Source organism: Homo sapiens, chromosome 9, assembly GCF_000001405.40.
Source record: "Homo sapiens chromosome 9, GRCh38.p14 Primary Assembly".
Taxonomy (NCBI): domain Eukaryota; kingdom Metazoa; phylum Chordata; class Mammalia; order Primates; family Hominidae; genus Homo; species Homo sapiens.
Window position 1 is genome coordinate 35,560,945 of NC_000009.12, and position 27,946 is coordinate 35,588,890.

At 45.2% G+C, this 27,946-nt stretch overlaps 2 protein-coding genes across 11 annotated transcripts in view, besides 2 other annotated features; one reads left to right on the plus strand and one right to left on the minus strand.

Annotated features, from left to right (window-relative positions):
- The window catches only part of RUSC2 (RUN and SH3 domain containing 2), a 71,785-nt gene extending 70,834 nt beyond the window's left edge, over positions 1-951 (plus strand). For all 6 annotated transcript variants that reach the window (NR_052015.4, XM_047424207.1, NM_014806.5 and 3 more), the window contains 2 exons: positions 16-153; positions 237-951. Coding sequence is in view for 5 of the 6 variants with exons in the window: in XM_047424207.1 (XP_047280163.1) it covers positions 16-153; positions 237-438 (340 nt within the window). In the remaining variant the exon portion in view is untranslated. The remainder of the gene's footprint in view (positions 1-15; positions 154-236) is intronic.
- Positions 99-291: a silencer, noted in NCBI's record as "fragment chr9:35561040-35561232 (GRCh37/hg19 assembly coordinates)". NCBI's record gives its function as "represses an EF-1alpha promoter that drives an FKBP-Casp9 reporter gene in an ReSE screen in HepG2 liver carcinoma cells {active_cell/tissue: HepG2}" and the evidence as "EXISTENCE:reporter gene assay evidence [ECO:0000049][PMID:32094911]".
- CIMIP2B (ciliary microtubule inner protein 2B) lies at positions 887-2,934 on the minus strand. 5 transcript variants are annotated; one of them, NM_001099951.4, is made up of 6 exons: positions 2,823-2,934; positions 2,222-2,445; positions 1,931-2,136; positions 1,705-1,756; positions 1,436-1,562; positions 887-1,151 (listed from the first exon to the last, which is right to left on the minus strand). In NM_001099951.4, exons 1-5 carry the CDS (start codon positions 2,882-2,884, stop codon positions 1,456-1,458), a joined length of 651 nt encoding a protein of 216 aa, NP_001093421.1. In that variant the 5' UTR covers positions 2,885-2,934; the 3' UTR covers positions 887-1,151; positions 1,436-1,455. The 5 variants fall into 5 exon arrangements, with proteins under 5 accessions (NP_001093421.1, NP_001274168.1, NP_001157782.1 ...); NM_001287239.2 differs by having other exon boundaries at positions 1,436-1,584; NM_001164310.3 differs by having other exon boundaries at positions 1,436-1,630.
- Positions 8,529-8,688: an enhancer, noted in NCBI's record as "active region_28325". NCBI's record gives its function as "activates an Ori minimal core promoter by ATAC-STARR-seq in GM12878 lymphoblastoid cells {active_cell/tissue: GM12878}" and the evidence as "EXISTENCE:reporter gene assay evidence [ECO:0000049][PMID:35858748]".

A 27,946-nucleotide genomic window follows, 5' to 3' on the forward strand; every position in this document is an offset into this window, starting at 1 on the left:
AGCTGCTGTCCCTAGGCTCCCCTCGGACTGGCTGAGCCTGGACAAGTCCATGTTCCAACTAGTGGCGCAGACAGTGGGTTCCCGCCGGGAGCCAGAGCCCAAGGAGAGCCTGCAGGAGCCACACTCCCCAGCCCTGCCCTCCAGTCCTCCGTGGTAAGCCTGGGGAAACGGAAGGGCTGAGGGGGGCGGGGGGCTTTTGAGGGGGTTTCTCTGACCTCCATGTGCTGTTTCCCCAGTGAGGTGCAGGCACTGTGCCACCACCTGGCCACCGGCCCTGGACAGCTGAGCTTCCACAAAGGAGACATCCTACGAGTGCTGGGGCGAGCTGGAGGAGACTGGCTGCGCTGCAGCCGTGGCCCCGACTCTGGCCTGGTGCCCCTGGCCTACGTGACATTGACCCCAACTCCAAGTCCAACCCCTGGAAGCAGCCAAAACTGAGGCCCTGTGCATGCTGGTGGCCTCAGGGACCCTCATAACCCCCAGACTCAGAGCCCGAGAGCCCTTCCCAAGCCATTGGCTTGGCTGCAGAGTAGACTGAGAGCTGGGGCCACGTATCCCTGTGCTGGCACCTGCTCCCTGTGCTCAGTATTAATTACGCCCCCTTAACTGTCCCAGTGACCTTGTCCAGACCTCCACCCAGGAGAGGGATGGGACACAGCACTGGGCTGCCAGGATTCCCCTGGCCCGTCTGGGCCAACCCTTCCATGGGTGAAGACAAGCAAGTCCCCCTGGAGGCGGGTGGCCCAGAAAGCCATCTACAGGGTTCCCTAGGCCAGGTGGAGATGAGGATGGGTAACAGTATTGGGGCCAGATCCCTAAGCCCCCCAGCTGTAAATAGGCTGTGGCCAGTGCCTGGTCATCAGAAGAGGGAGGAGGAGCCCAGGCGTCTGTTTATGTATTTATTTATTTATTTATTATACCTATTAATAAAAAAGGTGCTCAGCCTCCAAACCATTTTCTCTTTGTGTTCCCCCACCCTCCCACCCTCCCACCCACCTCTCTCCCTTCCAAAAGGATGGCTGGGATAGGATGAAAAGGGAAGGGAACTTGATGTCCAGTGGCCTAAGCCAAGAGCTGCTTCTGGAAGGTGCTGAGGCCCAGAGCATCATGGGTGAGATGGCCAAATGTGTGGCCAAACTGGAACTTATACCCTGTGTGGCCAAGAGAGTCTGTCACATGTAGCAAGTGGCATGGCAAAGCCATTTAATTCTCAGCCAGTTGGCTAGACCTCCAAACAGCCCTCTAAAATCTGGCCCTAATTCCCCACTGTGGGTAGCTACCTCGGTTTCCTTTTCTGCCTGATAATAAAGCTGAACCACATGATCTGAGCCCTCCCATATCTATTAGTTTCAACCCCCACAAACCACCCAACCCACCCCATACCCATACAAACAAACATTCCAGTCCCCAAAGCCTCCCCGGGGGCTCTTCTCACCTGGCACGTAGCCCCCATAGTTAGGTAAAAGACCCAGGTTCTGAGGGTATGTTCTGGGAAGTGGGGGGAGATGTTTGGGGTCCTGGGCACTGCCTGGTGAGTGCTTCTGCCCAAATTCCTGCAGTGCCTGGTTGGTGAGCACAGGAAAGCTGGAGCCGAAGAGGAAGCGGGCGCAGGGCACATAGCCAGTGAAGCCTGAGGATGGGGACACTGAGCCAAGGCATCCTGGGGCCTCCCCACGCCTCTGATCCTGACCCCCCAGCTCTCACCTGACATGAAGAACTTCCGAGGGTCCCTGTCATCCATGGAGTAGGGAGAAGCCTGTGAGAGAAGCCCCTGTGCTGTCACACAATCTCCCAAGGAGGTGGAGCTGACAATCAAGTGCACATCCCCTGAACCCACAGCCACACTACTCATGCTGCCCCCACTGCCCGGACACACAGTAAGACCCCCACTCCCACACCTCTGCACTCCCCACCAGCTTCTTGGTCTCACTTGTTCCACCACCTCCAGTGTCGGCTCCTCCAGCTGCCCCTCCGGCTCTGGCACCTGGTCCTTCTCTGTGTCCTTTCTTCCCTTGGCCTCCTTTGGTAGCTCTTCACTCCCTTGCTTTTCATGCAAGTGAGTAAAGTCACTCAGAGCCTCGGCCCAGACCTGGCTGCAGTTCTTGGCAAAGATGAACTGTGCCCGGGGTACAAAACCTGGGCAGGCAGGGACAAGGAAGACTCGTTAGTGTTTGGAACACATGCTCCTGGGAGGGGCACCTGTGCATACCTGCGTACAAACCTGTGTACCCAGGGATCATGCTGGAGCTGAGCCTTTCTTGCCCACGCCTGACAGGTAGACTCTCCCTGGGAACCTCAGGAGATCTTGGAGGCCGAATGGGAGGCAGAAGTGTGCGGTGGACAGGGGGCCAGGCTAGGCCAGGAGGGCCTCGAAGTAGCTGACCAGTCACCTGCCCATAGGTCTGGCCCACGCTGAACCGAAGTAGTGGGCAGTGTCCAGTGTACCTGCAGCACAGACTCTCCCACTCACCAGAATCGCCCTGCCCCGCCATCCCCAGAGGCAGAAGCGGAGACCTCTGAAGCCCTGATCTTTCTGGACTCAGCAGTGTATATATTTGGAGCAGGCATTTCTAAGTTCTCTGCCTGGGCTTTCGATCCTTCCTCTGCTGTTACCCTGTTCCCATGGAGAGAACAACACAAAGCTTTGGGGCAGACCCGGTGTCTCACTAGTCCCTTGCTTCTCCTTTTCCATCCACCACCATAGAGACCTCAGCCTCCCAAACCAACCTGTCCGCTTGGCCCCATGCTCTAAGCAGCTTAATTCCTCCACCCTATACCCCTACTCCCAGCAGCAAGCGGGGAGCGCTAAGTGGGAGTCTTACCCTGGGATATAATGAGGGTTCTGAGGGTTGAGCCCTGGTATGAAGGTGCTGGCCACAGCCATGGGGAGCCGGGCATTTCCTTTTGTTTGCCTTTGAGCCAAGGCTCTGGTCTGTGTGTACCGTGTCCAGGGCTGTGGGGCTAGAGGAAGGAGGCGGGGCTAAGGGAGGAGAGAAGGGAGGGGGCACTCGTGTGAGGACAGCCAGGGCGAAGGCCGGCAGAACTGTAGAGCAGAGGCTAGCAGGTCTGTCTGTCCAGGACAAAGGTGGTCCTGCTCGTGGGGCAGGGCCCGAACCGAAGGAAGCCCTGAGGTGGGACGTGGGAGGTGGGACGTGGGAGGTGAGGGAGCAGAAACCATTCGGGCCACTGAGCTCTGTCTCAGCGACTTCCTTCCTGAGCGCCTGCCTGAGAGGTGGACACTGTGTTCCTCATGAGTCTTCATCAAAGGAGATGGGGGACCTGGAGAAAGGATCTTTGAGGGAAGCCAGGGCCCAGAGGGGAGGTGAAAGAGGACAGGTGATGGGGGAAAAAAAGGAACCTAGACACCTCTAGGGAGTAACATCGTTTATTTTCAATAATTTAACAAGAGTGGCTTACTGAATACCTGCTATAATCAGAGTCATCCATTCAACAAATGAGCCAGGCTCTGCCAGGCTCCGGCCACAGTGGCCGAGTGTGCACTCCATGGGAGCCAGAAAAGCTGTGGGGGTTGAGGGAAGGAAACAGGATAAAGTTGTTGTAGGTGTGGGCGGTAACACTAGGGAGCAAGTTAGAATTTGTTAAAAAAATAAAATAAAATAAAAAATTCGGATTCTAAGAGAAGAAAAAGCACAGACCAGGAAGATGAGATCTCAGAGGACGGGGAAACATGTTTAAAACCCAACTCTGGGCCGGGTGCAGCCACGCTCACATCAACGTACTGAGGAGGCTGAGGTGGGAGGATCACTTGGGTCCGGGAGTTTCAGTCCAAACTGGGCAACACAGCCAGACCCCACCTCAAAAAACAAAACAAAACAAAAAGTTCTGGGGCTGGGTCAGGGCCAGGCTGAGGGCTCAGGGCCCACGTTTCTGAGGCAGAGCTCTGCTCTTCTCCCCACCTCCAGTGACCATGCCTGCGCTGACCAAGGACGGCACTGACATCCCAGGGGAATTACATAAGAGCACTGGGCTCCAAGGCACACATTTCATGTTCCTCACTGTTCTGCCAAGGACAGCCTTAGAATGTGTCATTTAGAGTTGTGGGGACTTACCTCACAGCTGAGGAAATATGTTAGAGTGAGGATGGGAGCCGAGGGGCAAGCCCAGAATAGCAGCAGTGTGTCAAGCTTAACAACCAGACTTGGGATTCTGTGACAGACACTATCACAGCTTATACCTATTCCTGACCCCCATCTCCTTTCTTCCGAGGAGCCAGAAACTGCATCAGGGAGGCTTGGAGAGCCAGCCTGGAGGAATGAGCTGGATTAGTCTAAGCGTGGTCCCATGCTCCTTCCCCATGACCGCTTAGGCACGGGCTTCCAGCATTCTGGATAATATGAGGGGAAATCTGCTGGGGCAGGGGAGGGTCCTGGGAAAAGTTTCTTTGCTCTTAAAGAAAAGATTCACATCAAATTAGAGCAAGTGAGAGAGACAGAGATGCGCAAGACGAAACGATGTCCATTCCTGCCCCTAGACTTTTGGGGGATGTGAGGCTGGAATGCTGGCAGGCATGTGGAAGCCTTGTGGAAAGCTAACCTGAAGACAAGTCCTGGACACATCAAGGATGGATGGTAGAGGAGAAAGGCCAGGGTCCTGAGGGTAATGTAGAGCCATGGAATTAATCAGCCTTTTTATGTCAAATAGTAAATTTCATTATTAAGGCCACTTTAAGTTTTCTTTCACTTACAGCCAAAGGCATCATAACTTTAAAAAACAAAACAGCCAGGCACGGTGGCTCACACCCTTAATCCCAGCACTTTGGGAGGCCGAGGCAGGAGGATCACAAGGTCATGAGTTCGAGACCAGCCTGGCCAACATAGTGAAATCCTGTCTCTACTAAAAATACAAAAATTAGCCAAGCGTGGTGGTGGGCACCTGTAGTCCCAGCTACTCAGGAGGTTGAGGCAGGAGAATCACATGAACCCAGGAGGTGGAGCTTGCAGTGAGCTGAGATCGCACATTGCACTCCAGCTTGGGCAACAGAGTGAGACTCCGTCTCAAAAACAAAACAAAACAAAAAAACACCACTAGATCAAATCCTAGCTTCACCAGAGATATAGACTTTGTCCAAATTCATCTCATTGAGCCTCAGTTTTCTCATCTGTAAAATGGAAAAACTAATGTTACCATCTCATAGAGTAGGATATCAGCTAGCTGAGATGATACACAATGAGCAATGACCCCAGCGTCTAGCTTACGGTAAGTGCTAACTAAACAGCAATTCACGGCTAGCATTTGGCAGGAATGGGAGGAAGGAAAGGAGCTGGGAGCAGTCACAGATGTTAGAGGTTCAGGGGAAAGGTTCATGAAATTGAAAAAGGGAAAGGTTTGAATGGAAGTTGGGGTATAAATTAGGATGTAGGGACTAGAACACATTCTGCAGAAAAGACCATGGCAGTTAGAATCCGGGTATGCGTTAAAACACAAGTTAGGAAACAGATTAGGATTAGTCTTAGGTTTATGGCTTATGAAGAAACAGCTCTATCCAATTGGTAGAATGGCCTGTTACTATGATTGTTTCCATCTGAATAAAGAATATTTCTAGATCCCTGAAGGGTGTTCTAATCTGAGAAAGGAGTGACGGGGCCAGCTGAGGCACCACAGGAATGCTTGCTGCCTCTGTGCCTCCTTCCAGGGACAGACATCACAGAAACATGACCACAACTTGCTCTGATGGGAGCTGCCACACCCAGTGGCCAGTGTTGGATGTGGCAGTGGAGAGAAAATGTTTAACTGGAGACAGCGCCCCACTCAGTCCACACAGCCTGCTGGGTCCCCACAATGGCAGCCTATAGCCTTCTGTTCTGCCTTTGATTCTGACCAGGAACTGCTATAAAATTTCATACAGATCCCAAATCAATCATTTGATTGTATGTCAACCCTAGGCAAGCATAAATCCCCTCTGCAAGGATGAATAAAAGAAAATCACAGGACCTTTGAAAAAATTCCTGAAATCAACAGTCCACCAAAATTGAAACAAGAATTGAATAAACTCCAAAAGATTACATGCAACACAAAACCTTTTTTAGTTTGAAAAATACATGCAGATGCATAAAACTGCATAAAAAGGAAAGCAAGGGAATGATAAAAATGGGTTTCAAATGCTCACCTCAGATGGTGAGAAACAAAAGGGGTGGGAAAGGGGGAACCACATAGTTAGATGTATGTTATTGTCAAAGTTTCAGTTTTTGTTTGGGATGATGTTTTCAAAAATGCTTATAATGGGCCAGGTGCAGTGTCTCATGCCTGTAATCCCAACACCTGGGGAGGCCAAGGTGGGCAGATTACTTGAGGTCAGGAATTCGAGACCAGCCTGGCCAATATGGCAAAACCCCATCTCTACTAAACATACAAAAATTAGCCAGGTGTGGTGGCACACACCTGTAATCCCAGCTACTTGGGAGGCTGAGGCAGAAGAATCACTTGAACCAGGAGGCAGAGGTTGCAGTGAGCCGAGATCATGCCACTGCACTCCAGCCTGGGTGACAGAGCATGACTCTGTATCAAAAAAAAAAAAATGCTTATAATGCATACATTATAACAAAGTATGAACTAATGATGAGAATGTGCCAAACCAAAGATTATGACAATTGAAATCTATGCTTTTGAGGTCCAAAGAGGTGTGGTGGAGGGAATCCAAGTAGAAATGACAAGGAATCATGGTATTTGGAGGGATCGAAGGAAAGGAAATGGCCTGGTCTCTATTCTACCTTTTTCTACCTTTTTGGTTTTTTTCTTTTTTTGAGATAGGGTCTCACTCTGTCACCTAAGCTGGAGTGCAGTGGCATAATCTCAGCTCACTACAACCTTCGCTTCCTGGGCTCAAGTGATCCTCCCACCTCAGCCTCCAGAGTAGCTGGGACTACAGGTGCATGCCACCACACCCGGCTAATTTTTGTATTTTTTTTTTTTTATAGAGATAGGGTTTCACCATGTCCAAGCTGGTCTTGAACTCCTGGGTTAAAGCGATCCACCCTCCTCAGCCTCCCAAAGTGCTGGAATTACAGGCGTGAGCCACCGCACCTGGCCTGGATTTTTTATGTATATAACACTCCTCAAATCCACAAGGATCAATATTCATTTATTCAGCCTACTTATTAAATATTTCTACTAGGCAGTTGCCTTATAGATCAATACAGACAATGCCTGACCTCAGTGATCGAACCACTTTAAAGAAGAGACAGAGGTACAGAGAAAGGCAGAATAAAATAAATACCACAATGAAGATCTAAACAAAAACAACTGATCTTATAATAGGCCATGAAGAAAAATCTCAAAAATTCCAAGAAGCACAATAAACCACATTTCCTCACACAAACACAATTTTAAAATTTTAAAATAGGCTAAACAAACAACCAACCTAACACTTAGACATTTAAAAATACTCCCTTGAGCTGGGCGTGGTGGTGCATTCCTGTAATCCCAGCTGCTTGGGAAGCTGAGGCGGGAGGATGGCTTGAGCCCAGAAATTTGAAGCTGTAGGGCGGCGCTATGATCACATCTGTGAATAGCCACTGCACTCCAGCCCAGGCAACACAGTGAGACCCTGTCTCTTAAAGAAATAAAAATTAAAATTAAAAAAAAAACAAAAACACCTTAACCCTTGGGGCAAAGAAAAAATTCCAGTTATACACAATTATTTATAAATAAATGAGAATTCAATCAAAGATGAATTCAGAGGCAACTTTTAGCCTCAAACACATACTGGCCTCATGATTAAGAATATAGACTTGATCCTGCTGGGTGTGGTGGCTCACACCTGTAATCCCAGCACTTTGGGAAGCCGAGGCAGGTGGATCACAAGGTCAGATCAAGACCGTCCTGGCTAACACGGTGAAACTCCGTCTCTACTAAAAATATAAAAAATTAGCTGGGCGTGGTGGCAGGCGCCTGTAGTCCCAGTTACTGGGGAGGCTGAGGCAGGAGAATGGCGTGAACCAGGGAGGTGGAGCTTGTAGTGAGCTGAGATCGCACCACTGCACTCCAGCCTGGGCGACAGAGAGAGATTCTGTCTCAAAAAATTAAAAAAAAAAAAAAAAAAAATATATATATATATATAGGCTTGATCCTGGCTCCATCACTTATGAGCTGTACAACCTTGGGCAAGTTAGCAAACCTCTCTGTATCTCTTTTTCCCTCCTCTATAAAATGAAAATGCTAATAGTGTAAGGATTAACTTAAACGGTACAATAAAGCACAATAATAAATAAACTATCAATATCATTACTAACAAATGTTCTAGTGGGAGCTGCTCTAAGAAACAATTGCCTACCTTGGCTGGTCCAAGTAAAAGAAGAAAGCCAAGAGTGGAAGGAAGAGAGGATATCTTAAGAATGGATAGATTTCCTGAGTATCCAAGGAAGGAACTGTATACTGTACAGACTGCCATATAGCTAGGCCTCGTGAAACGGGAATTGAGAACGTGAAAGTGAACAGGAGCTGAGGCAGCTATTTTCACTCTCACCCTGGGGCCAGGTGCTTCTCTCTGCACATCTGCTCAACTCCGTCTGTCTCTATCTGTCTCTCTCGCTCCCTTTTCCAAATGGACTTGTCACTATTAGTTTCTACTCCCTGATAACTCTGGTATGCATGTGTTCATCAGGAAATTTCTACACCCCACATCCCCCATCATCTCTACAACAGTGATTGCTTAAGCAGAGTGTGCTGCAGAATTACCCAGAGTTTCGATATCAAACCTATAGAAAAGTTGCAAGACAAATGTCACTTTTACCTGACTTACCAGTTGTTCACATTTTGCAACTCAGAAGTATAGTCTCCCATGCGTCCCAGAAGGAAAGAGAAACAGACACAGGTGAGCATCACCATCCTGACCTCACTCATCTCTCTCGGCCTGGCCTCACTGCAGATGCAGAGGCCACCACCTCAACCAGGCAGCTGGGGAGGGAGGAGGGCATGTGTGCAGACCATGATGGCTTCAGCAGGACAGGCTGCAGACAGACTAGCCAGGCAAATGAGTCTAAAAGCAACTAGCCAGCTAACTAAATTAACTAGCTAATAACTAAGCAGTCAATTCAAAAGGCTAGAAAAAGAAGAACGTCATAAAGCTAACAAATATAGGAGAATGAAACTGATAGAAACCAATAAATCAGAAAACAGAAAAACAATTGAACTGTTATAAGAGTTGTTTAAAACAACAACAAAACAAGCAAACTGCTGGCAAAGTTAGCCAAGAGAAAGACTATACAACACCCCTAACAGATTGAGGAAGTGGCTAAAAACAGGCACATAGGAATTTGTGGGGGGTTTTTTTGTTTTGTTTTTGTTTTTGAGATGGAGTCTCGCTCTGTCGCCAGGCTGGAGTGCAGTGGCGCAATCTCGGCTCACTGCAACCTCCGCCTCCGGGGTTCAAGCAATTCTCCTGCCTCAGCCTCCCAAGTAGCTAGAATTACAGGTATGCGCCACCACGCCCAGCTAATTTTTGTATTTTTAGTAGAGACAGGGTTTCACTATGTTGGCCAGGATGGTCTTGATCTCTTGACTTCGTGATCCACCTGCTTCGGCCTCCCAAAGTGCTGGGATTACAGGCATGAGCCACCGCGCCCAGCCAGGAATTTGTGTTTTAACTACAAAAGAATACTAGTGAAACTCTATATAAATAAACTAGAAAATGTCAATAAGAATGAATATTGTCTTGGAAAATATAAATCAAAATCAACTCAAAATGATGGAACATCTGAATAAAATAACAATAGAAAGAATTGGGCCAGGTGCAGTGACTCACATCTGTAATCCCAGCATTTTCGGAGGCCAAGGTTCAGGATTGCTTGAGCCCAGGAGTTCTAGACCAGCCTGGGCAACATAGTAAGACTTCATCTCTACAAAAAATTTTTAAAAAATCAGCCAGGCATGGTGGCGTGTAGTCCTAGCTACTCAGGATGCTGAGGTGAGAAAATCACCTCGGCCCAGGAAGCTGAGGCTGCAGTGAGCCATGATTGCATCACTGCACTCCAGCCTGGGTGACGGAAACCCTGTCTCAAAAAGAAAAAGAAAGAATGGAAAAAGTGGTCAAGTAGATGCCCCTACCAAAAGACCCACACGCCACTTGATTTACAAAATTAGCAAAAACTTAATTCAAGACAACAAATTCAATACCTAACAAACCTCACACAAGTTCTACAGATAAAAAATGCCACCAAATAAAACATCAAACTAGCAACAGCAAAAAAGCAGGATGCTTACTATCACTGTCATCTTTCCTCCAATTCATAGCAGATGCCAATAAAGGATCCCAGTCCCCTTTCTGAGATCTTCCAAGACTCTGCAAGACAGCATGTTTTGAGTGATTTCTGCCAAAGCTTCAGATGAGGGGAGTGGTGGCAAATGTTCTGCTCTTTATCACCCCTGAATTGACTGACAGCTCAGTAAGGGCAGAAACCATGTCTGTCTATCTTGTTCATGATTATATCCTCAGCATCAAGCACAAGTGTCTGGCACATAGTATGAACTACACAAGTCTAGTAATATTGTAAAAGAATAATATACATTAAGACTAGTAGAGCCAAGTGTGGTAGCTCATGCCCGTAATCCCAGCATTTTGGGAGGCCAAGGCAGGAGGATCACTTGAGCCCAGGAATTTGAGATCAGCCTGGGCAACACAGTGAGACCTTGTCTCTACTAAAAATAAAAAATTAGCCAGATGTGGTGGTACATTCCTGCAGTCCCAGCTACTCAGGAGGCTGAGGTGGGAGGATTGCTTGAGCCCAGGAGGTCAAAGCTGCAGTGAGCCATGATTGTGCTACTGCATTCCAGTCTGGGAAACAGAGAGAGACCCTCAAAAAAAAAAAAAAAAAAAGAGACTAGTAGGATTTATTCCAGAACTACCACAGTGATTAAACTAGAAAATTTCTTAGTGCAATTAACATATGATAAACCAAAGGATATAAAAGCCATTTGATCACCCTGGCAGATATTGGAAAGGTATTTTATAAAACTAAATATCTACTTGTGATTCTCCTTAAAAAGGACTTTTAGTAAACCAGGAATATAAACATGATAAAGAATATTTGAAATGAATAGCCAATATCAAACTATATCCAGAAGAAACATCAGAGAGAGGACTGGGAAATAAATCTTATCTGTTGTACCAAATCAAATCAGCTATAGTCACTTATGGGAATGTTACTGGGGAGCTTCTGAAACAGGGCCATAGCTTAGCAGGAAAAGGTACTAAGAAGGATTAACTATGTTTGTTTGCCATGGGCATAAGATGAATGCCAGCATGTCGGATTCATAGTCCTTCACTTTATAAAAGTCAGAACCAAGACAAGAATGCTCATTATCACCTTTACTATTCAAAGTTACTATAGACAATGCATAAAACAAAAATAATTAATAAGAACCATAAATATTAGAAAGAAAGAAAAGAATCATCATCGGCCTAACTACAAAATCCTGAGAAGCAACTGAAGAACAATGAGAACTAATAAGAGTACTGTAAGATGCTTATTACCTGAAAAATATATTCAAATATCAATAGCTTTATTAGGCAGCATTACCAGTTAGATGACACACTGGAGGACTTCCACTTCCAGCATTATGGCAGATAGTTCAGAAGATTATCTGCAGCAATCAACTATATATTACATAGGTCATGTGAGGTGTTGCAGCTCTCACAAAGAAAGGAGTCTTCAAGAACATACCTTCCCCTCAAAAATAACACAAAACAAAAACAATAAAACGTAAGGACAGGTGTGGTGGCTCATGCCTGTAATCCCAGCAGTGTGGGAGGCCAAGGCAGGCGGAACATTTGAGGTCAGGAGTTCAAGACCAGCCTGGCCAACATGGTGAAACTCTATCTCTACTAAAAATGCAAAAATTAGCTAGGGGTGGTGGCACATGTCTGTAATCTCAGCTACTGGGGAGGCTGAGGCAGGAGAATTGCATGAACCTGGGAGGTGGAAGTTGCAGTGAGCCGAGACCATGCCACTGCACTCCAGCCTGGGTGACAGAGTGAGACACTGTCTCAAAGGAAAAAAAAAAAAAAAAGGTCGAACTCATAGAAGCAGAGCAGAATGGCCATTACCAGAAGCTATGGAGAGACAGAAAGGGGGAGGTATTCATCAAAGGGTGCAAAGTTTTGGTTATACAAGAGGAGTAGGTCCTAGACATCTACTGCACAACATTGTGCTTAGAGCCTATAGTTAATAATATTGTATTATTATAAAATTTTTTTTAAATTATACTGAAAAATGTATATTTAAAAATTTGCTAACAGGGTAGATTTTTTTTCCATTATGCTCTTCTAAGATACTAATAAACCATAAGATGGTAGATCTTATATTAAGTGTTCTTATCACTAAATAAATTGGGCAGGAGGAAACTTTTGGAGATGATGGATATGTTTACGGCATTGACTATAGCGCTGGTTTCATGGTTCTATACTTACCTCCAAGTTCAAGCTGTATACACTAAATATGTATTGTAAGTCCTCAGTATTGTCAATAGGTTCTTGGAAATTGCAACTTTCAGAGAAATGATGTGAAATGATGGGTACGAGAGTTTACCGTACATGAGGAGAGCATGCAAACTCCATATAGACAGTGGTCCTGGCCTGAATCAACCTTTTTTTCCCCTGGCCAGGTGCAACGGCTCACGCCTGTAATCCCCATACTTTACGAGGCTGAGGTGGAAGGATCACTTGAGCCCAGGGGTTCAAGACCAGCCTAGGCAAGACGGGGAGACCCCCCTCTCTACAAAAATAAAAAATAAAATTTAAAAAATTAATTTAATTAAAATTAATTATCTGGACTAATTAGCCAGGCAAGGTGGTACACACCTGTAGTCCCAGCTACTCAGGAGGCTGAGGTGGGAGGACCGTTTGAGCCCAGGAGTTTGAGGCTGTAAGTGAGCTATGATCACACCGCCACACTGCAGTCTGGGTGACAGAGACCCGGTCTCTATAAAAATAAAAAGTTTAAAAAATGATAAAAATAAAATATTTTTTCATATCAATGTTATAAAGTAACAACAGTGAGTGAAACATCATTTGAGAACCTGCTGTACAACTTTCTGTATGTCAATAAAGTGATTTTTTAAAAAGGGAAATCATCAGAGGCCAAAAACTAGGCAAAGGATAGAAGGCACTTTTGGCTTAATGGCATTGGCCAAGCCACACAAACTTGGAGGTTCATTTTCACAGGTTCATGAAGTACTGAGAAAAGGAGATAAAACTCAGTGACCACCCAAGATGGAGAGTCTAACAGAAAATTTTTCCTGCATAAAACTGGCATGCATCAAGTTATGTCCCTTTAGTCTTTTTTTTCTTTTTCTTTGAGATGGAGTCTCATTCGGTCACCCAGGCTGGAGGGCAGTGGTGCAATCTCGGCTCACTGCAACCTCCGCCTCCTGGGTTCAAGCAATTCTCATGCTTCAGCCACCTCAGTAGCTGGGATTACAGGCGCCGCCACTACACCCAGCTAATTTTTGTATTTACTTTAGTAGAGACTAACTTTCACCATGTTGGCCAGGCTGGTCTCAAACTCCTGACCTCAAGTGACCCGCCTGTCTTGGCCTCCCAAAGTGCTGGGATTATACACATGAGTCACCGCACCCCACCTTGCCCCTAGAAATCCATCTGCCCCCCAAATCCTTCCTCAGGGGACTACAAAGAAAATTGCCTATCTCAAAACTTGGTACCAAGTGAAAAAGGGGGACATATTTCCCCTAAAACTTCATAACTACAAGCTGGCTCATGCGTGATTTGCAGATGGAATTCACTCTACCTGAGTAGTCTGAAATACTATCAAGATAATGAGGTAGGAGGTGGGACTGGACTCCAGAGGCAGGGCTCAGCAGCGGACCAAATTGAGGACTAGCTAAAACAGGGATGGGGCAGAAGTGGTTTTCCATATGACATGGCCACCAGTGTGCTATGTCAGTTTACCATTGCCATGACAACACCCAGAAGTTACCACCCCTTTCCACAGCAATGACCCAATGAACTGGAAGTTACCACCCTTTACATACAGAAATTACTGCATAGTCCACCCCTTAATTTGCATGTAGTTAAAAGTGGGTATAAATCTGAATGCAGCACTGCCTCTGAGCTGCTGCTCTGAGCATACAGCCTATAGGACAGCCCTGCTCCACAAGGACCAGTACCTCTGCAGGTTTATTAGGATCTTGGAAGAGCATAATGGGAAAAGAAAGATGTACTCTGTTACCAAATTTTTTAAGTATACACTGCTGCTTCAATAAAAGTTGCTGTCTAACACCACTGGCTCATCCTTGGATTTTCTTTCCTGGGCAAAGCTAAGAACCTCCCAAGGCTAAGCCCCAATTTGGGGGCTCACCTGCCCTCCCATCATCTGGTGATCAATGAAAGGAAAAAGATAATGAGCAAGAGGCAGCAAGTCAGTGGAGACAGTGGCAGTCAGCAGACAGGTGAGATGGTGGGACAGCAGAGACGGTGGCAATCAGCGGTCAGTGGAGAGGTGACGACTATGAGAGACAGCAACTGGGAAGACAGTGAGAGACTGACAAGACCAAGCAGAGACAGCGAGAGACCGCAAAGCGGTCTGTGATCAAGGCTGCAAGAGCTATAACACTGAGGCTGTAACAATAAAGAGCTGCTAACACTAACCAAAGGCTCTTTTCAGAGCCATCATTTTCCCTGGCAGGCGGCAGGGCCAAGCAGACACACTAATGGCCATAATGTCACTGCCTCATGTGAGCTCTGACCATGGCAGGCCAGTGGGTTACCAGTCCCTATGCTTGCCCCCTGTGTGACAGCTGAGCCCACCCAAGCTGGGGGGTCCTGGAGGGACCTTCACCAGGGTCCCACATGAAAGACTGGCTGGTGCCATTTGGCTCCTATGGATGGGTAAGTGTCCCTTCTTCCCCTACTCCATAACATCTAGTGAGCTGGGGAATAAAAAGCCTTCGGCTAAGTGGTTAAAAGTCCCCCACAGTATGAGTGCCCTGAGGCACATCCTTGTGACCTCTCCCCCCTGTGCTTTCTTCTCTGACTCCATATTATTGTTCCACCAATCATTTTATTTTTATTTCGAGTCCAAAAATTTACGTTTCATTTGAAGCGTTATGTTTCCTTTTGACTTTCTGTTAACTGTGTTTGAGCAATTGTTTAAGGCTGGATGTTTAGTTGTGCTCTGTTGCGTCAACTCTGGGACACCAGAGTCACATTGTTCTATGACCCCAACTTGGTCTTGGGTTCACTGTTGGCCACTCCCTTGGTGCCCCCAGGTTTTTGGCATTTGGTGAGGGGACCCTCATTGGCTGAAACAGGCACTCTGGGTTTCCAGCATTGGTATGATAGGCCACTCCCAGATGCTCTGGGGTTTTCAGGATTGACATTCCCTCTAGGATTATAGGTTATAGCCCCACCCACTACGGGAATATTGGTATCAACTTTTTCTGCCCTGAAGTTAGAAGTTATTGTTTTCCTGACAGCCAGTTGCAAGCCCCTTACCGTATTCTGTCTTAGAACTGCTTTGCTCAAGCCCCTCTACATCAAACGGACCAGGAGTTCCCAGGCCCCTGGCCTGATGGACAACCACTCAACAGCGGTAGACGAGTGGCCACCTGAACATTATTATTATTATTTTTTTTTTTTTGGTGTCTCCACTACTGGGAAGGGTCTCTGGCAAGTCAGGGCCTCTGCGGTCTCTCCTCAGGCAACGCTGCTTATCCCCTTCCCTTCCTCTCTTCCACAGTCTCCATGTGTTTAGCCGCCTTCTCTGAACAACCCTCACTCTGTGGAATTTAAGCTCAACATTCTACTGCCCTTTTGTGGCTTGTAATCCACTTTTGTAATGCCTTCTTACCTATACTTAAACCTTCTCTACAGGGAGTGGGAATCTAAAAGGGAAAAATAACAAGGGCCTAGTTACTTTCCCTCTTGCTTAGAAAAATTTGTGCGCATAAAAATCCTTGTTAATCATGGGGACAATGATGAGTATTCCAGATAACTCACCATTAGGACGCCCTTCAGGCTAATTCAGCTTAAAGAAAAATTCATTTTCTATTGCAAAACCGTTTGGGTTCAATACAAACTATAAAACCAACAGATATGGCCTAAACATGGTTTTATATGCTATGATATTTTACAGTTGGACTTTTTCTGTAAAAAAGAAGGAAAATCGGAAGAGGTCCCTTATGTACAGTAAAGGGCTATTATGACCCTTTACTGGCTCACATTAGTTAAGGCACCAGAAAGCCACATCTAAGGGATCTCCTCCTAGCTGCTCCCCCTAGAAGGTCTATGCCCTCCCTGGAATCTCCTCAGTCTCCCAATTGTGAGGCGGGTCCCACCAGTTCTCTAACAAAGGACTCCACCCCAAGGTCATCAGGCACCTCTCCCCCTTTTCCAATTAGCCTCAGCCTATACCCCCAACTGCCCAAGAAAGTATGCCCAACCAGTACCACCAGGAGTGGGACTGCCCCTAAAGTCAAACTGTGTCCATTGTGGGAGGTAGCCCATGGAAATGGGGGGGACACCTGGAGTGCATGTGCCATTTTTTATGTCTAATTTGGCTTTATACAAGGAGAACTTTGGCCAGTTTTCAGAGGAGTTTAAGTTGACCACATTCTTTGATTTAATTTGTCATGACTTGCAAGTATTGTCATCTGCTTGTTGTGCCATGGGGAAAAAAAGTGGAGAAAAAAGTATGTGGTTAAGCCAGCTAAAGATGACAAGGTTAGAAAAATAACTCAGCGAAAAGATAAAAATCCCACTCTGCTTCAGGGTCATTTTGTTGACGCACTCAGGAAATATACTAATGCAGATTCAGACTCCCCAGAAGGGCAAGCTCTCCTGCGTTACATTTTATTACTCTATCTGCCCCTGACATTAGCAGGAAGCTACAGAAAGCAGCAATGGGACCTCAAATCCCTATGAGCCAACTCAAATTCGGCCTTTAAAGTTTACGACAATAGGGATGAAGCAAAAGAGGTTAAAAAAAAAAAAGAAAAAAAGAAAGAGCCAAAAAGTGCAATTGTTAACAGTTACTTTAAGCCCCCTGCCATCTCAGAATTACCCATCCCAAGAAAGCGTTGCGAGATCGGCATCTGGGATGCCCAGAAAAGATCCCTCGACTCACTGGTCCCTGGGCCACGATCAGTGTGCCTACTATAAGCAAAAAGGCCACTGGCAATCACAGCATCCTAACCATCCCCGGTGAGAGAGGAAAAGGCTCCCTATCAATAGTAGAGCTAACCTTCCACTAGCCCCAACAAGTTGCTTGCTCAAGTAAGGTTACTAAAGTTCTCAGCCCCTTGGCCTAACTGACAGCTTCCCACAGTGGCAGATAAGTGGCTGCCCAAACATTTCTCTTTGGTGTCTTGGCTGCTGGGTGAGCTCTCCAGCAGCTCAGGGACTCCAGAATCTCCCCTTGAGCAATGCAGGTTGCACCTTCCCTTCCTTATTTGATGCTATAGGATCCCCTTCCCTGCCTCTTCCTGTCTTCCAAACCTATCTGGGCAAACAACATTTGGCTAGGTAGATGGGTTCCAATTGTGAAACTAACTTGAATCCAGCTGTCTTATATAAGTCGTTTTATTTAATGTGCTTGTTTAGGTGTATATACAGGTATGGTGATGAGCATTGTGTCTAGCATGCTATCAAATTGGCTTATAAACAAACAAGCACTCATAAATAAGACTAGTCTAAGCTTATTAGTTTGAAGAGGATGTTGTGTCTTCTAAAATTTAAGAATTTTTACATAGGTAAATCACTGATGTTCATAGGCTTTAAAATGGTTAAAATGGCTTTAAATGGTGACTAGCTTTGCATGGTATCTTGGTTCTGGGAGGTGGGCTAGATACAATTGTTAAAAGTAAAAAGGTTAAGTATATATGAATGGAATACATGCTTAAATAGTGAGCTTAATGTGAGGTTTAAAATCCTAAAATGGTGGAATGGTTCTCATCCATTGAATGCCAATGTCTGATGGGCATTTCAGAATTTCTTTTTAACTTTTGTGGGTACATAGTAGGTGTATATATTTCTGGGGTACAGGAGATGTTTTGATACAGGCATGCAATGTGAAATAAGCACAACATGGAGAATGGGGTCCCCATCCCCTCGAGCATCCTTTGAGCTACAAACAATCCAATTACACTCTTTATTTTAAAATATACAATTAAATTATTGACTATAGTCACCCCATTGTGCTATCAAATAATGGGCCTAATTCATTCTATTTTTGTACCCATTCACCATCCCCACCCTCCCCCAGCAATTCCCCACTACCCTTCTGATATGGTTTGACTCTGTGTCCCCACCCAAATCTCAGGTTGAATTGTAATTTCCAGTATTGGGGGAGGGACCTGATGGGAGGTGACTGAATCATGAAGGCGGATTTCCCCCATGCTGTTCTCATCATAGTGACTCAGTTCTCACAAGATCTGGTGGTTTAAAAGTGTGTAGCACTTCCCCACTTTGCTAACTCACTCTCATACCACCATTGTAAGATGTGTCTTGCTTCCCCTTTGCCTTCCACCATGATTGTAAGTTTACTGAGGGCTCCCTAGCCATGTGGAACTGTGAGTCAATTAAATCTCTTTTCTTTATAAATTACCCAGTCTCAGGTAGTTTCTTTATAGCATTGTGAAAACAGACCACAGAAAATTGGTACCAAGAGTAGGGTAAAGATACCTGAAAATGTGGAAGTGACTTTAGAACTGGGTAATGGGCAGAGTTTGGAACAGTTTAGAGGGCTCAGAAGAAGACAGGGAGGTGTGGGAAAAGTTTGGAACTTCCTAGAGATTTGTTGAATGGTTTTGACCAAAATGCTGATAGTGATATGGACGGTGAAATCTGAGATGGTAATCTCAGATGGAGATGATCAGATGGAGATGAGGAATTTATTGGGAACTGGAGCAAAGGTCACTCTTGCTATGCTTTAGCAAAGAGACAGGTGGCATTGTGCCTCTGCTCTAAGGAATCTGTGGAACTCTGAACTTGAGAGAGATGATTTAGGATATCTGGTGGAAGAAATTTCTAAGAAAGAAAGTGTTCAAGATGTGACCTGGCTGCTCCTAACAGTGTACAGTCATATGTGTTCACAAAGAGATGGTCTGAAATTGGAACTTATGTTTAAAAGAGAAGCAGAGCATAAAAGTTTAGAAAATTTGCAGCCTGATTATGTGGTAGAAAAGAAAAACCCATTTTCTTGGGAGAAATTCAAGCTGCTGGCTGCAGAAATTTGCATAAGTAGAGAAGAGCCAAATGTTAATCACTAAGACAATGGGGAAAATGCCTCCAGGACATTTCTGAGATGTTCACAGCAGCCTCTCTCATCACAGGCCCAGAGGCCTAGAGAGAAAAATGGTTTCATGGGCTGGGCCTAGGGCCCCACTGCTCAGTGCGGCCTCAGGACATGGTACCCTGCCACTTCAGTTCCAGCCATGGCTCAAAGGGGCCAAGGTACAGCTCAGGCTGTGGCCTCAGAGGGTGCAAGCCCCAAGCCTTGGTGGCTTCCATGTGGTGTTGCACCTGTGGGTGCACAGAAGGCAAGAGTTTGAAAGCCACCACCTAGTTTTCAGAGGATGTATGGAAATGCTTGGATGTCCAGGCAGAATTCTGCTGCAGTGGAGGGCACTCATGGAGAATCACTACTAGGGCAATGTGGAGAGGAAATGTGAAGTTGGAGCACCCCCCCCCACAAGAGTCCCCACTGGGGCACTGCCTAGCGGAGCTGTGAGAAGAGGGCCACTGTCCCCCAGACTCCAGAATGGTAGATCCACTGACAGCTTGCACCATGTGCCTGGAAAAGCCACAGGCACTCAATCCCAGCCCATGAAAGCCCCCCAAGGGGCCATACCATGCAGAGTCACAGGGGTGGAGCTGTCGAAGGCCTTGGGAGCCCACCTTTTGCATCAGTATGCCCTGGATGTGAGACATGGAGTCAAAGGAAATTATATGGGGGCTTTAAGATTTAATGATTGCTCTGCTGGGTTTTGGACTTGCATGGGGCCTGTAGCCCCTTTGTGTTTTTGTTGTTGTTGTTGTTATTTTTGGTTTTTTTTTGAGATGAAGTCTCACTCTGTCACCCAGGCTGGAGTCCAATGGCATCATCTCGGGTCACTGCCACCTCTATCCCCCAGGTTCAAGCGATCTTCCTGCCTGAGCCTCCCCAGTAGCTAGGAATACAGGTGTGTGCCACCACTCCTGGCTAATTTTCATATTTTTAGTAGAAACATGGTTTTACCATGTTGGCCAGGCTGGTCTCAAACTCCTGACTCAAGTGATCTACCCACCTTGGCCTCCAAAAGTGCTAGGATTATAGGCGTAAGCCACTGTACTCGGCTGTTTTGGCCAATTTCTACCATTTGGAATAAGAGCATTTACCCAATGCCTATACCCCCACTGTATCTTGGAACTACCTTGTTTATTTTACAGGATCATAGGCAGAACAGACTTGCCTTGTCTCAGATGAGACTTTGGACTTGAACTTTTGGGTTAATGCTGGAATGAGTTAGGACTCTGGGGGACTATTGAGAAGGCATGATTGTGTTTCAAAATGTGAGAAGGACATGAGATTTGGGAGGGGCCAGGGCGGAATACTATGGTTTGGCTCTGTATCTCCACCCAAATCTCATATTGAATTATAATTTCCAATGTTGGGGGAGAAACACGGTTGAATCTTAGGGGCGGATTTCCCCCAGGCTGTTCTCACGATAGTGAGTTCTCATGAAATCTGATGATTTAAAAGTGTGTAGCACTTCCTCCCTCGCTCTCTCTCTCTCCTGCCATGTAAGATGTGCCTTACTTCCCCTTTGCCTTCTGCCATGATTGTAAGTTTCCTAAGGCTTCCCCAACCACGTGGAACTGTGAGTCAATTGAACTCTCTTCTTTACAATTACCCAGTCTCAGGTACTCTTTGTTTTGTTTTGTTTTGTTTTGGCAGAGTCTCACTCTGTTGCCCAGGCTAAAGTGCAGTGGTGCAATCTTGGCTCACTGTAACTCTTCTTCCCAGGTTCAAGTGATTCTTGTGCCTCAGCCACCTGAGTAGCTGGGATTACAGCCATGTGTTGGGAACTGGTCCCCAAATCTGGCCATAAACTGACCCCAAAACTGGCCATAAACAAAATCTCTGCAGCACTGTGACATGTTCGTGATGGCCATGATACCCACACTGAAGGTTGTGGATTTACTGGAATGAAGGCAAGGAACACCTAGCCCACACAGGGCAGAAAACTGCTTAAAGGTGTTCCTAAACCACAAGCAATAGCATGAGCGATCCGTGCCTTAAGGACATGTTGCTGCTGCAGATAACTAGCCAGAGCCCATTCCTTTGTTTCGGCCCATCCCTTTGTTTCCTGTAAGGAATACTTTTAGTTAATCTATAATCTATAGAAATAATGCTTATCACTGGCTTGCTGTCAATAAATATGTGGGTCAAACTCTGTTTGGGGCTCTCAGCTCTGCAGGCTGTTGAGTCCCCTGATTTCCCACTCCACACTACATATTTCTGTGTGTGTGTCTTTAATTCCTCCAGCACGGCTGGGTTAGGGTCTCCACGACGGAGCTGGTCTCAGCAAGTGGGGCTCGAACCCAGATCGAAGGGTTGCCGGAGCAATGGTTGGAGAATGTGGAACTAAGCTGGAGGACACCCAAGTACTCTTAAGCAATCCCTGTAGTGAGTAAGAAGGGGAGCTCAGAAGCATCAGGGTAACAATGGGACAAGTGTGGGCTCTGGTTCGTCCCACCTTGGAACCTTTTCACACTGATGATGAGGAGGAAGGAGAGTATAACAAAGTAACAGAAAAGGTAACAGAGCAGGTTTGTTTGCCAGCTAAAGCTAAAGAGGCAAAGGAGGAAGAGTTCATCCCTACCTTTCTGCACTCCCTCCTTATTTTGAAGAAAAAGAGCAGCCTGACCCTCCAGATCTTTCTTTTACGGAGGACACTGGGCGAAAAGTAGTTGCCCCAGTGACTGTTCGAGCAGCTCTTCGAGTGACTGCTGTCAGTTCTATTCAGGCAGGAATCCAGCAAGCTAGAAGAGAGGGTGATATAGGCCGGAACTGGTGGCTCACACCTGTAATCCCAGCACTTTGGGAGGCTGAGGTGGGCGGATCACGAGGTCAGGAGATCGAGACCATCCTGGCTAACACAGTGAAACCCCGTCTCTACTAAAAATACAAAAAAAATTAGCCGGGCATGGTGGCGGGCTCCTGTAGTCCCAGCTACTGGGGAGGCTGAGGCAGGAGAACGGCATGAACCTGGGAGGCAGAGCTTGCAGTGAGCAGAGATCGTGCCACTGCACTCCAGCCTGTGTGACAGAGTGAGACCCGTTTCAAAAAAAAAAAAAAAGAAAGAAAAGGAGAGGGTGATATAGAGGCTTGGCAGTTCCCTGTTAGGATATACCCCCCAGATCAACAGAGAAATATTATAGCTATATTTGAGGCTTTTCTCTTTAAATTACTTAAAGAGTTTAAACAGGCTATCAGTATGAACCAGGTATATGCCTGAAGTGTAAAAAAGGAAAACATTGGGCCAATCAGCATCATTCTAAATTTGATAAGGATGGAAACCCAATTTCGGGAAATGCCATGAGGGGCCCGTTCAGGGCCCGTCCCAGGCCCGTTCCAAACCGGGGCATTTCCGGCTCAGGCCATTCCCTCACCCCTATACAATGTCTGTCCCCTGCCACAGCCGGTAGTGCCGCAGTAGATTTATGCTGCACAAAAGCTGTGGAGCCTTCTGCCTGGGGAACCTCTGCAAAAAAGTTCCAACAGGGGTCTGTGGACCCTTGCCAGCTGGGACAATAGGATTACTTCTAGACAGGTCTAGTTTAAATTTAAAAGGAGTGCAAGTACAAACAGGAGTCACTGATTCACATTACAATGGGGAAATTCACGTTGTTATATCTACTTCTGTTCCCTGGAAAGCAGAGCCAGGACAGCATATAACACAACTCCTGATTGTGCCATATGTAGAAATGGGGAAAAGTGAAATTAAATGAACAGGAGGATTTGGAAGCACAAATAAACAAGGCAAAGCAGTTTATTGGGTGAATCAAATTACTGATAAACATCCTACCTGTGAAATAACTATTCAGGGAAAGAAATTTAAAGGTTTGGTAGATACAGGAGTGGACGTTTCAATCATTTATCTACAGCACTGGCCGTCCACGTGGCCAATTCAACCCGCTCAATTTAACATAGTTGGAGTTGGTAAAGCCCCTGAAGTATATTAAAGTAGTTATATTTTGCATTGTGAAGGGCCCAATGGACAACCTGGACTATTCAACCAATTATAACTTCTGTACCTATAAATTTATTACAACAATGGGGAGCACAAGTTCTAATTCCAGAACAATTATACAGCCCTCAAAGTCAACATATGATGCATAAAATGGGGTATGTTCCTGGTACGGGACTAGGAAAAAATTTGCAAAGTTCGAAGGAACCGCTTCAAGCGGAAAGACAAATTTCCCACCAAGGTTTAAGATTATTATTTTTGATGGCGGCCATTTTTAAGCCTCCAGAACCTATACCTTTAAAATGGTTAATGAATAAGCCAATTTGGATAGAACAATGGCCACTGAGTAAAGAGAAACTGGAGGCTTTAGAGGACTTAGTTACTGAACAATTAGAAAAAGAACACATAGCTCCAACATTTTCCCCTTGGAATTCTCCAGTTTTCATAATTAAGAAAAAATCAGGTAAATGGAGAATGTTAACTGACTTAAGGGCCATTAATTCAATTATACAACCTATGGGGACATTACAGCCAGGACTGCCTTCTCCTGCTATGATTCCAAAAAACTGGTCTTTAATAGTCATAGATTTAAAAGACTGTTTCTTTACTATCCCCTTAGCTAAGCAAGACTGAATGGTTTGCATTTACAATTCTTGCAGTAAACAACCTGCAGCCTGCTAAGCATTTTCATTAGAAAGTGTTGCCTCAAGGCATGTTGAACAGTCCAACAATTTGCCAGACTTATGTAAGACAAGCAATTGAACCGACTCGTAAAAAATTTCCACAGTGTTACATTACTCATTGTATAGAAGATATAATTTGTGCTGCCCCCACTCGAGAAATATTACTCCAATGTTATGATCACTTGCAAAACTTGATTTTTCCTGCCAGTTTAATTATAGCCCCTGACAAATTTCAGACTACTACTCCTTACTCCTACTTGGGGACCTTAGTAAATGACACTACAATTGTGCCACAGAAAGTAACCATACGTAGAGATCAATTGAAAACATTAAATGACTTTCAAAAATGACTAAAGACCATTAATTGGACACAACCTGCTCTAGGCATTCCTACCTATGCCATGAGTAATCTATTTTCTATCCTTAGAGGAGATCTTAGTCTCACTAGCCCTCAACAATTAACAAAGGAGGCTGAGGCAGAGTTACAGCTGATTAAAAAGCAAGTCCATAAGGCCTACCCGGAAAAATCTCACTGCCTCTCCCCAGACTATTACTTGTTAGATGGAACTCTCCCCCACTTAATGGGTTCCACCTGAACCCCCTCACTGCTATTATGTGGACCTGGAAAGTTGGGTATCTATACTTCTAGTGCACTAATGATTCTATCTTTGGCACCCAGTGTTGTGTTAATGACACAAAAGCCAAGTTTCCTGCAATGCTCTGATCCAGCCTTAGTTGCCAAGTTCCCAATGCCACAGCAAAGTAAATGGGATAGAACTTGTAAGCAATGAGACCATCTATGGTTCCTTCCCCTGGATCAGAACATACAGGAGAAAAAAAAAAAGGAACACATGGGAGAAAAACAACTATTTAGTCTGGGAAGGTGGGAGTACCTCCTCCCCTTTTGGAAAACAAAGATTGTTCAACCACCCCAATTAGAACAGGGAAAAATATCTCTATAGACACAACTTGGCAGCAAAGGGTAGGCATCGCACCCCGTAGGGACCCTGTTTGTGCTCCAACTGGGCTTGTTTTTGTTTGTGGCCATGAGTGGGAAGAAGTCATGCCCTGTAACCACTCCTGACTCCCTGGGGAGTCACCTGTTCTTTTAAGAATAGCTTTCCCTTGTATATCAAAAACATGAAACAGAGGTGACTGTATGTTGGCCACCCTTTCCCCTCCAGGAGTCACACAGTCTATAACCCCGTAAGACCCAAGAACACCAGAAATAAATGAGCAATAGTGTTACTGGTTGAGGGTAGTTGTCCAGGTTCTTGGCGTTTTGAACAAATAATCAGACAAAACACACAAAGCAAGGCAGTAAAAGCAGAAACTTATTTTAAGTAAAAGCACACCCCATAGGGTAGGAGTGGGCTCAAGCAAGTGGCTCAAGAGCATCAGTTACAGAATTTTCTGGGGTTTAAATACCCTCTAGAGACCAGGCGTGGTGGCTCACACCTGTAATCTCAGCACTTTGGGAGGCCAAGGCGAGTGGATCACCTGAGGTCAGGAGTTCCAGACAAGCCTGACCAACATGGTAAAACCCCATCTCTACTAAAAATACAAAATTAGCTGGGTGTGGTGGTGCATGCCTGTAATCCCAGCTACTCGGGAGGCTGAGGCAGGAGAACTGCTTGAACCTGGGATGCAGAGGTTGCAGTGGGCCAAGATCACACCACTGAACTCCAGCCTGGGCAACAAGAGCAAACCTCCGTCTCAAAAACAAAATAACACAAAACAAAAAACTACAAGTTTGGAAAACATATTGGAGGGAATAATTGAGGAAAACTTCCCTGGCCTTGCTAGAGATCTAGACATCCAAATACAATAAGCTCAAGGAATACCTGGGAAATTCATCGCATGAAGACTATCACCTAGGCACATAGTCATCAGGTTATCTAAAGTCAAGACAAAGGAAAGAATCTTAAGAGCTGTGAGGCAATAGCATCAGGTAAACTATAAAGGAAAACCTATCAGATTAACAGCAGATTTCTCAGCAGAAACCCCTACAATCTAGAAGGGATTGGGGTCTTATTTTCAGTCTCCTTAAACAAAACAATTATCAGCCAAGAATTCTGTATCCAGCAAAACTAAGCTTCATAAATGAAGGAAAGATAGTCTCTTCCAGACAAACAAATGCTGAGAGAATTCGCCACTACCAAGCTAGCACTACAAGAACTGCTAAAAGGGTCTCTAAATCTTGAAACAAATCCTTAAAATACACCAAAATAGAATCTCCTTAAAGCATAAATCTCACAGGACCTATATGACAATAATACAATAAAAAAAGGTATTCAGGCAAAATGGCATGACGAATAGACTAGTACCTCATATCTCAATACTAACATTGAATGTAAATGGCCTAAATGCTCCACTTAAAAGATACGGAATGGCAGAATGCATAAGAATTAACCAACCAAATTTCTGCTGTCTTCAGGAGACTCACCTAGTACACAGGATTCACATAAACTTAAGGTAAAGGGGTGGAAAAAGATATGCCATGCAAATGGACACCAAAAGCAAGCAGGAATAGCTATTCTTATATCAGACAAAACAAACTTTAAAGCAACAGCCATTTAAAAAGACAAAGAGGAACATTATATAATGATAAAAGAACTAGTCCAACAGGAAAATATCACAATTCTAAATATATATGCACCTAACACTGGAGTTCCCAAATTTATAAAACATGGTCATCTCAATAGACACAGAAAAAGCATTTGACAAAATCCAGCATCCCTTTATGATTAAAACCCTCGGCAAAACTGGCACAGAAGGGACATACCTTAAGGTAATAAAAGCCATCTACAACAAACCCACAACCAACATTACACTGAATGGGGAAAAGTTGAAAGCGTTCCACCTTAGAACTAGAACAAGACAAGGATGCCCACTTTCACAACTTCTATTCAACATAGTTCTGGAAGTGCTAGCCAGAGCAATCAGAAAAGAGAAAGAAAGAAAAGGCATCCAAATTAGTAAAGAGGAAGTCAAAGTGTCTCTGTTACTGATGATATGATCGTATACCTAGAAAACCCTAAAGATTCATACAAAATTTGAATTCAGTGAAGTTTCAGGATACAAAATTGATGTACACAAATGAGTAGCTCTGCTATACACCAACAGTGACCAAGCTGAGAATAAAATAAAAAACTCAACCCCTTTCACAATAGCTGCAAAAAAAATAAAATATTTATAAATATACCTAACAAAGAAGGTGAAAGACCTCTACAAGGAAAACTACAAAACACTGCTGAAAGAAATCATAGATAACACAAAAACATGGAAACACATCCCATGCTCATGGATGGGTAGAATCAATATTGTGAAAATGACCATACTGCTAAATGCAATCTACAAATTCAATGCAATTCCCATCAAAACACCACCATCATTCTTCACAGAGCTAGAAAAAAAAAATCCTAAAATTCATACAGAACCAAAAAAGAGCCTGCATAGCCAAAGCAAGATTAAGCAAAAAAAAAAAAAAAAAAAAAAATCTGGAGATATCACATTACCTGACTTCAAAATATACTATAAGGCCATAGTCACCAAAACAGTATGATACTGGTATAAAAATAGGCACATATGGCCAGGCGTAGTAGCTCATGCTTCTAATCCCAGCACTTTGGGAGGCCAAGGCGGGTGGATCACCTGAGGTCAGGAGTTCAAGACCAGTCTGGCCAACATAGAGAAGCCCCCTCTCCACTAAAAATACAAAAAATTAGCCAGGTGTGGTGGCAGGTGCCTTTAATCCCAGCTACTTGGGTGGCTGAGGCAGGAGAATCACTTGAACCTGGGAGGCGGAGGTCGCAGTGAGCCAAGATTGTGCCACTGCAATCCAGTCTGGGCAACAAGAGCAAAAACTCCGTCTCAAAAAAAAATAGGCACACAGACCAATGGAACTGAATAGAGAACCCAGAAATAAAGCCAAATACAGCCAACTGATCTTTGACAAAGCAAACAAAAAATATCAAGTGGGGAAAGGACACCCTATTCAACAAATGATGCCGAGATAGTTGGCAAGCCAACTGTAGAAGAATAAAACCAGATTCTCATCT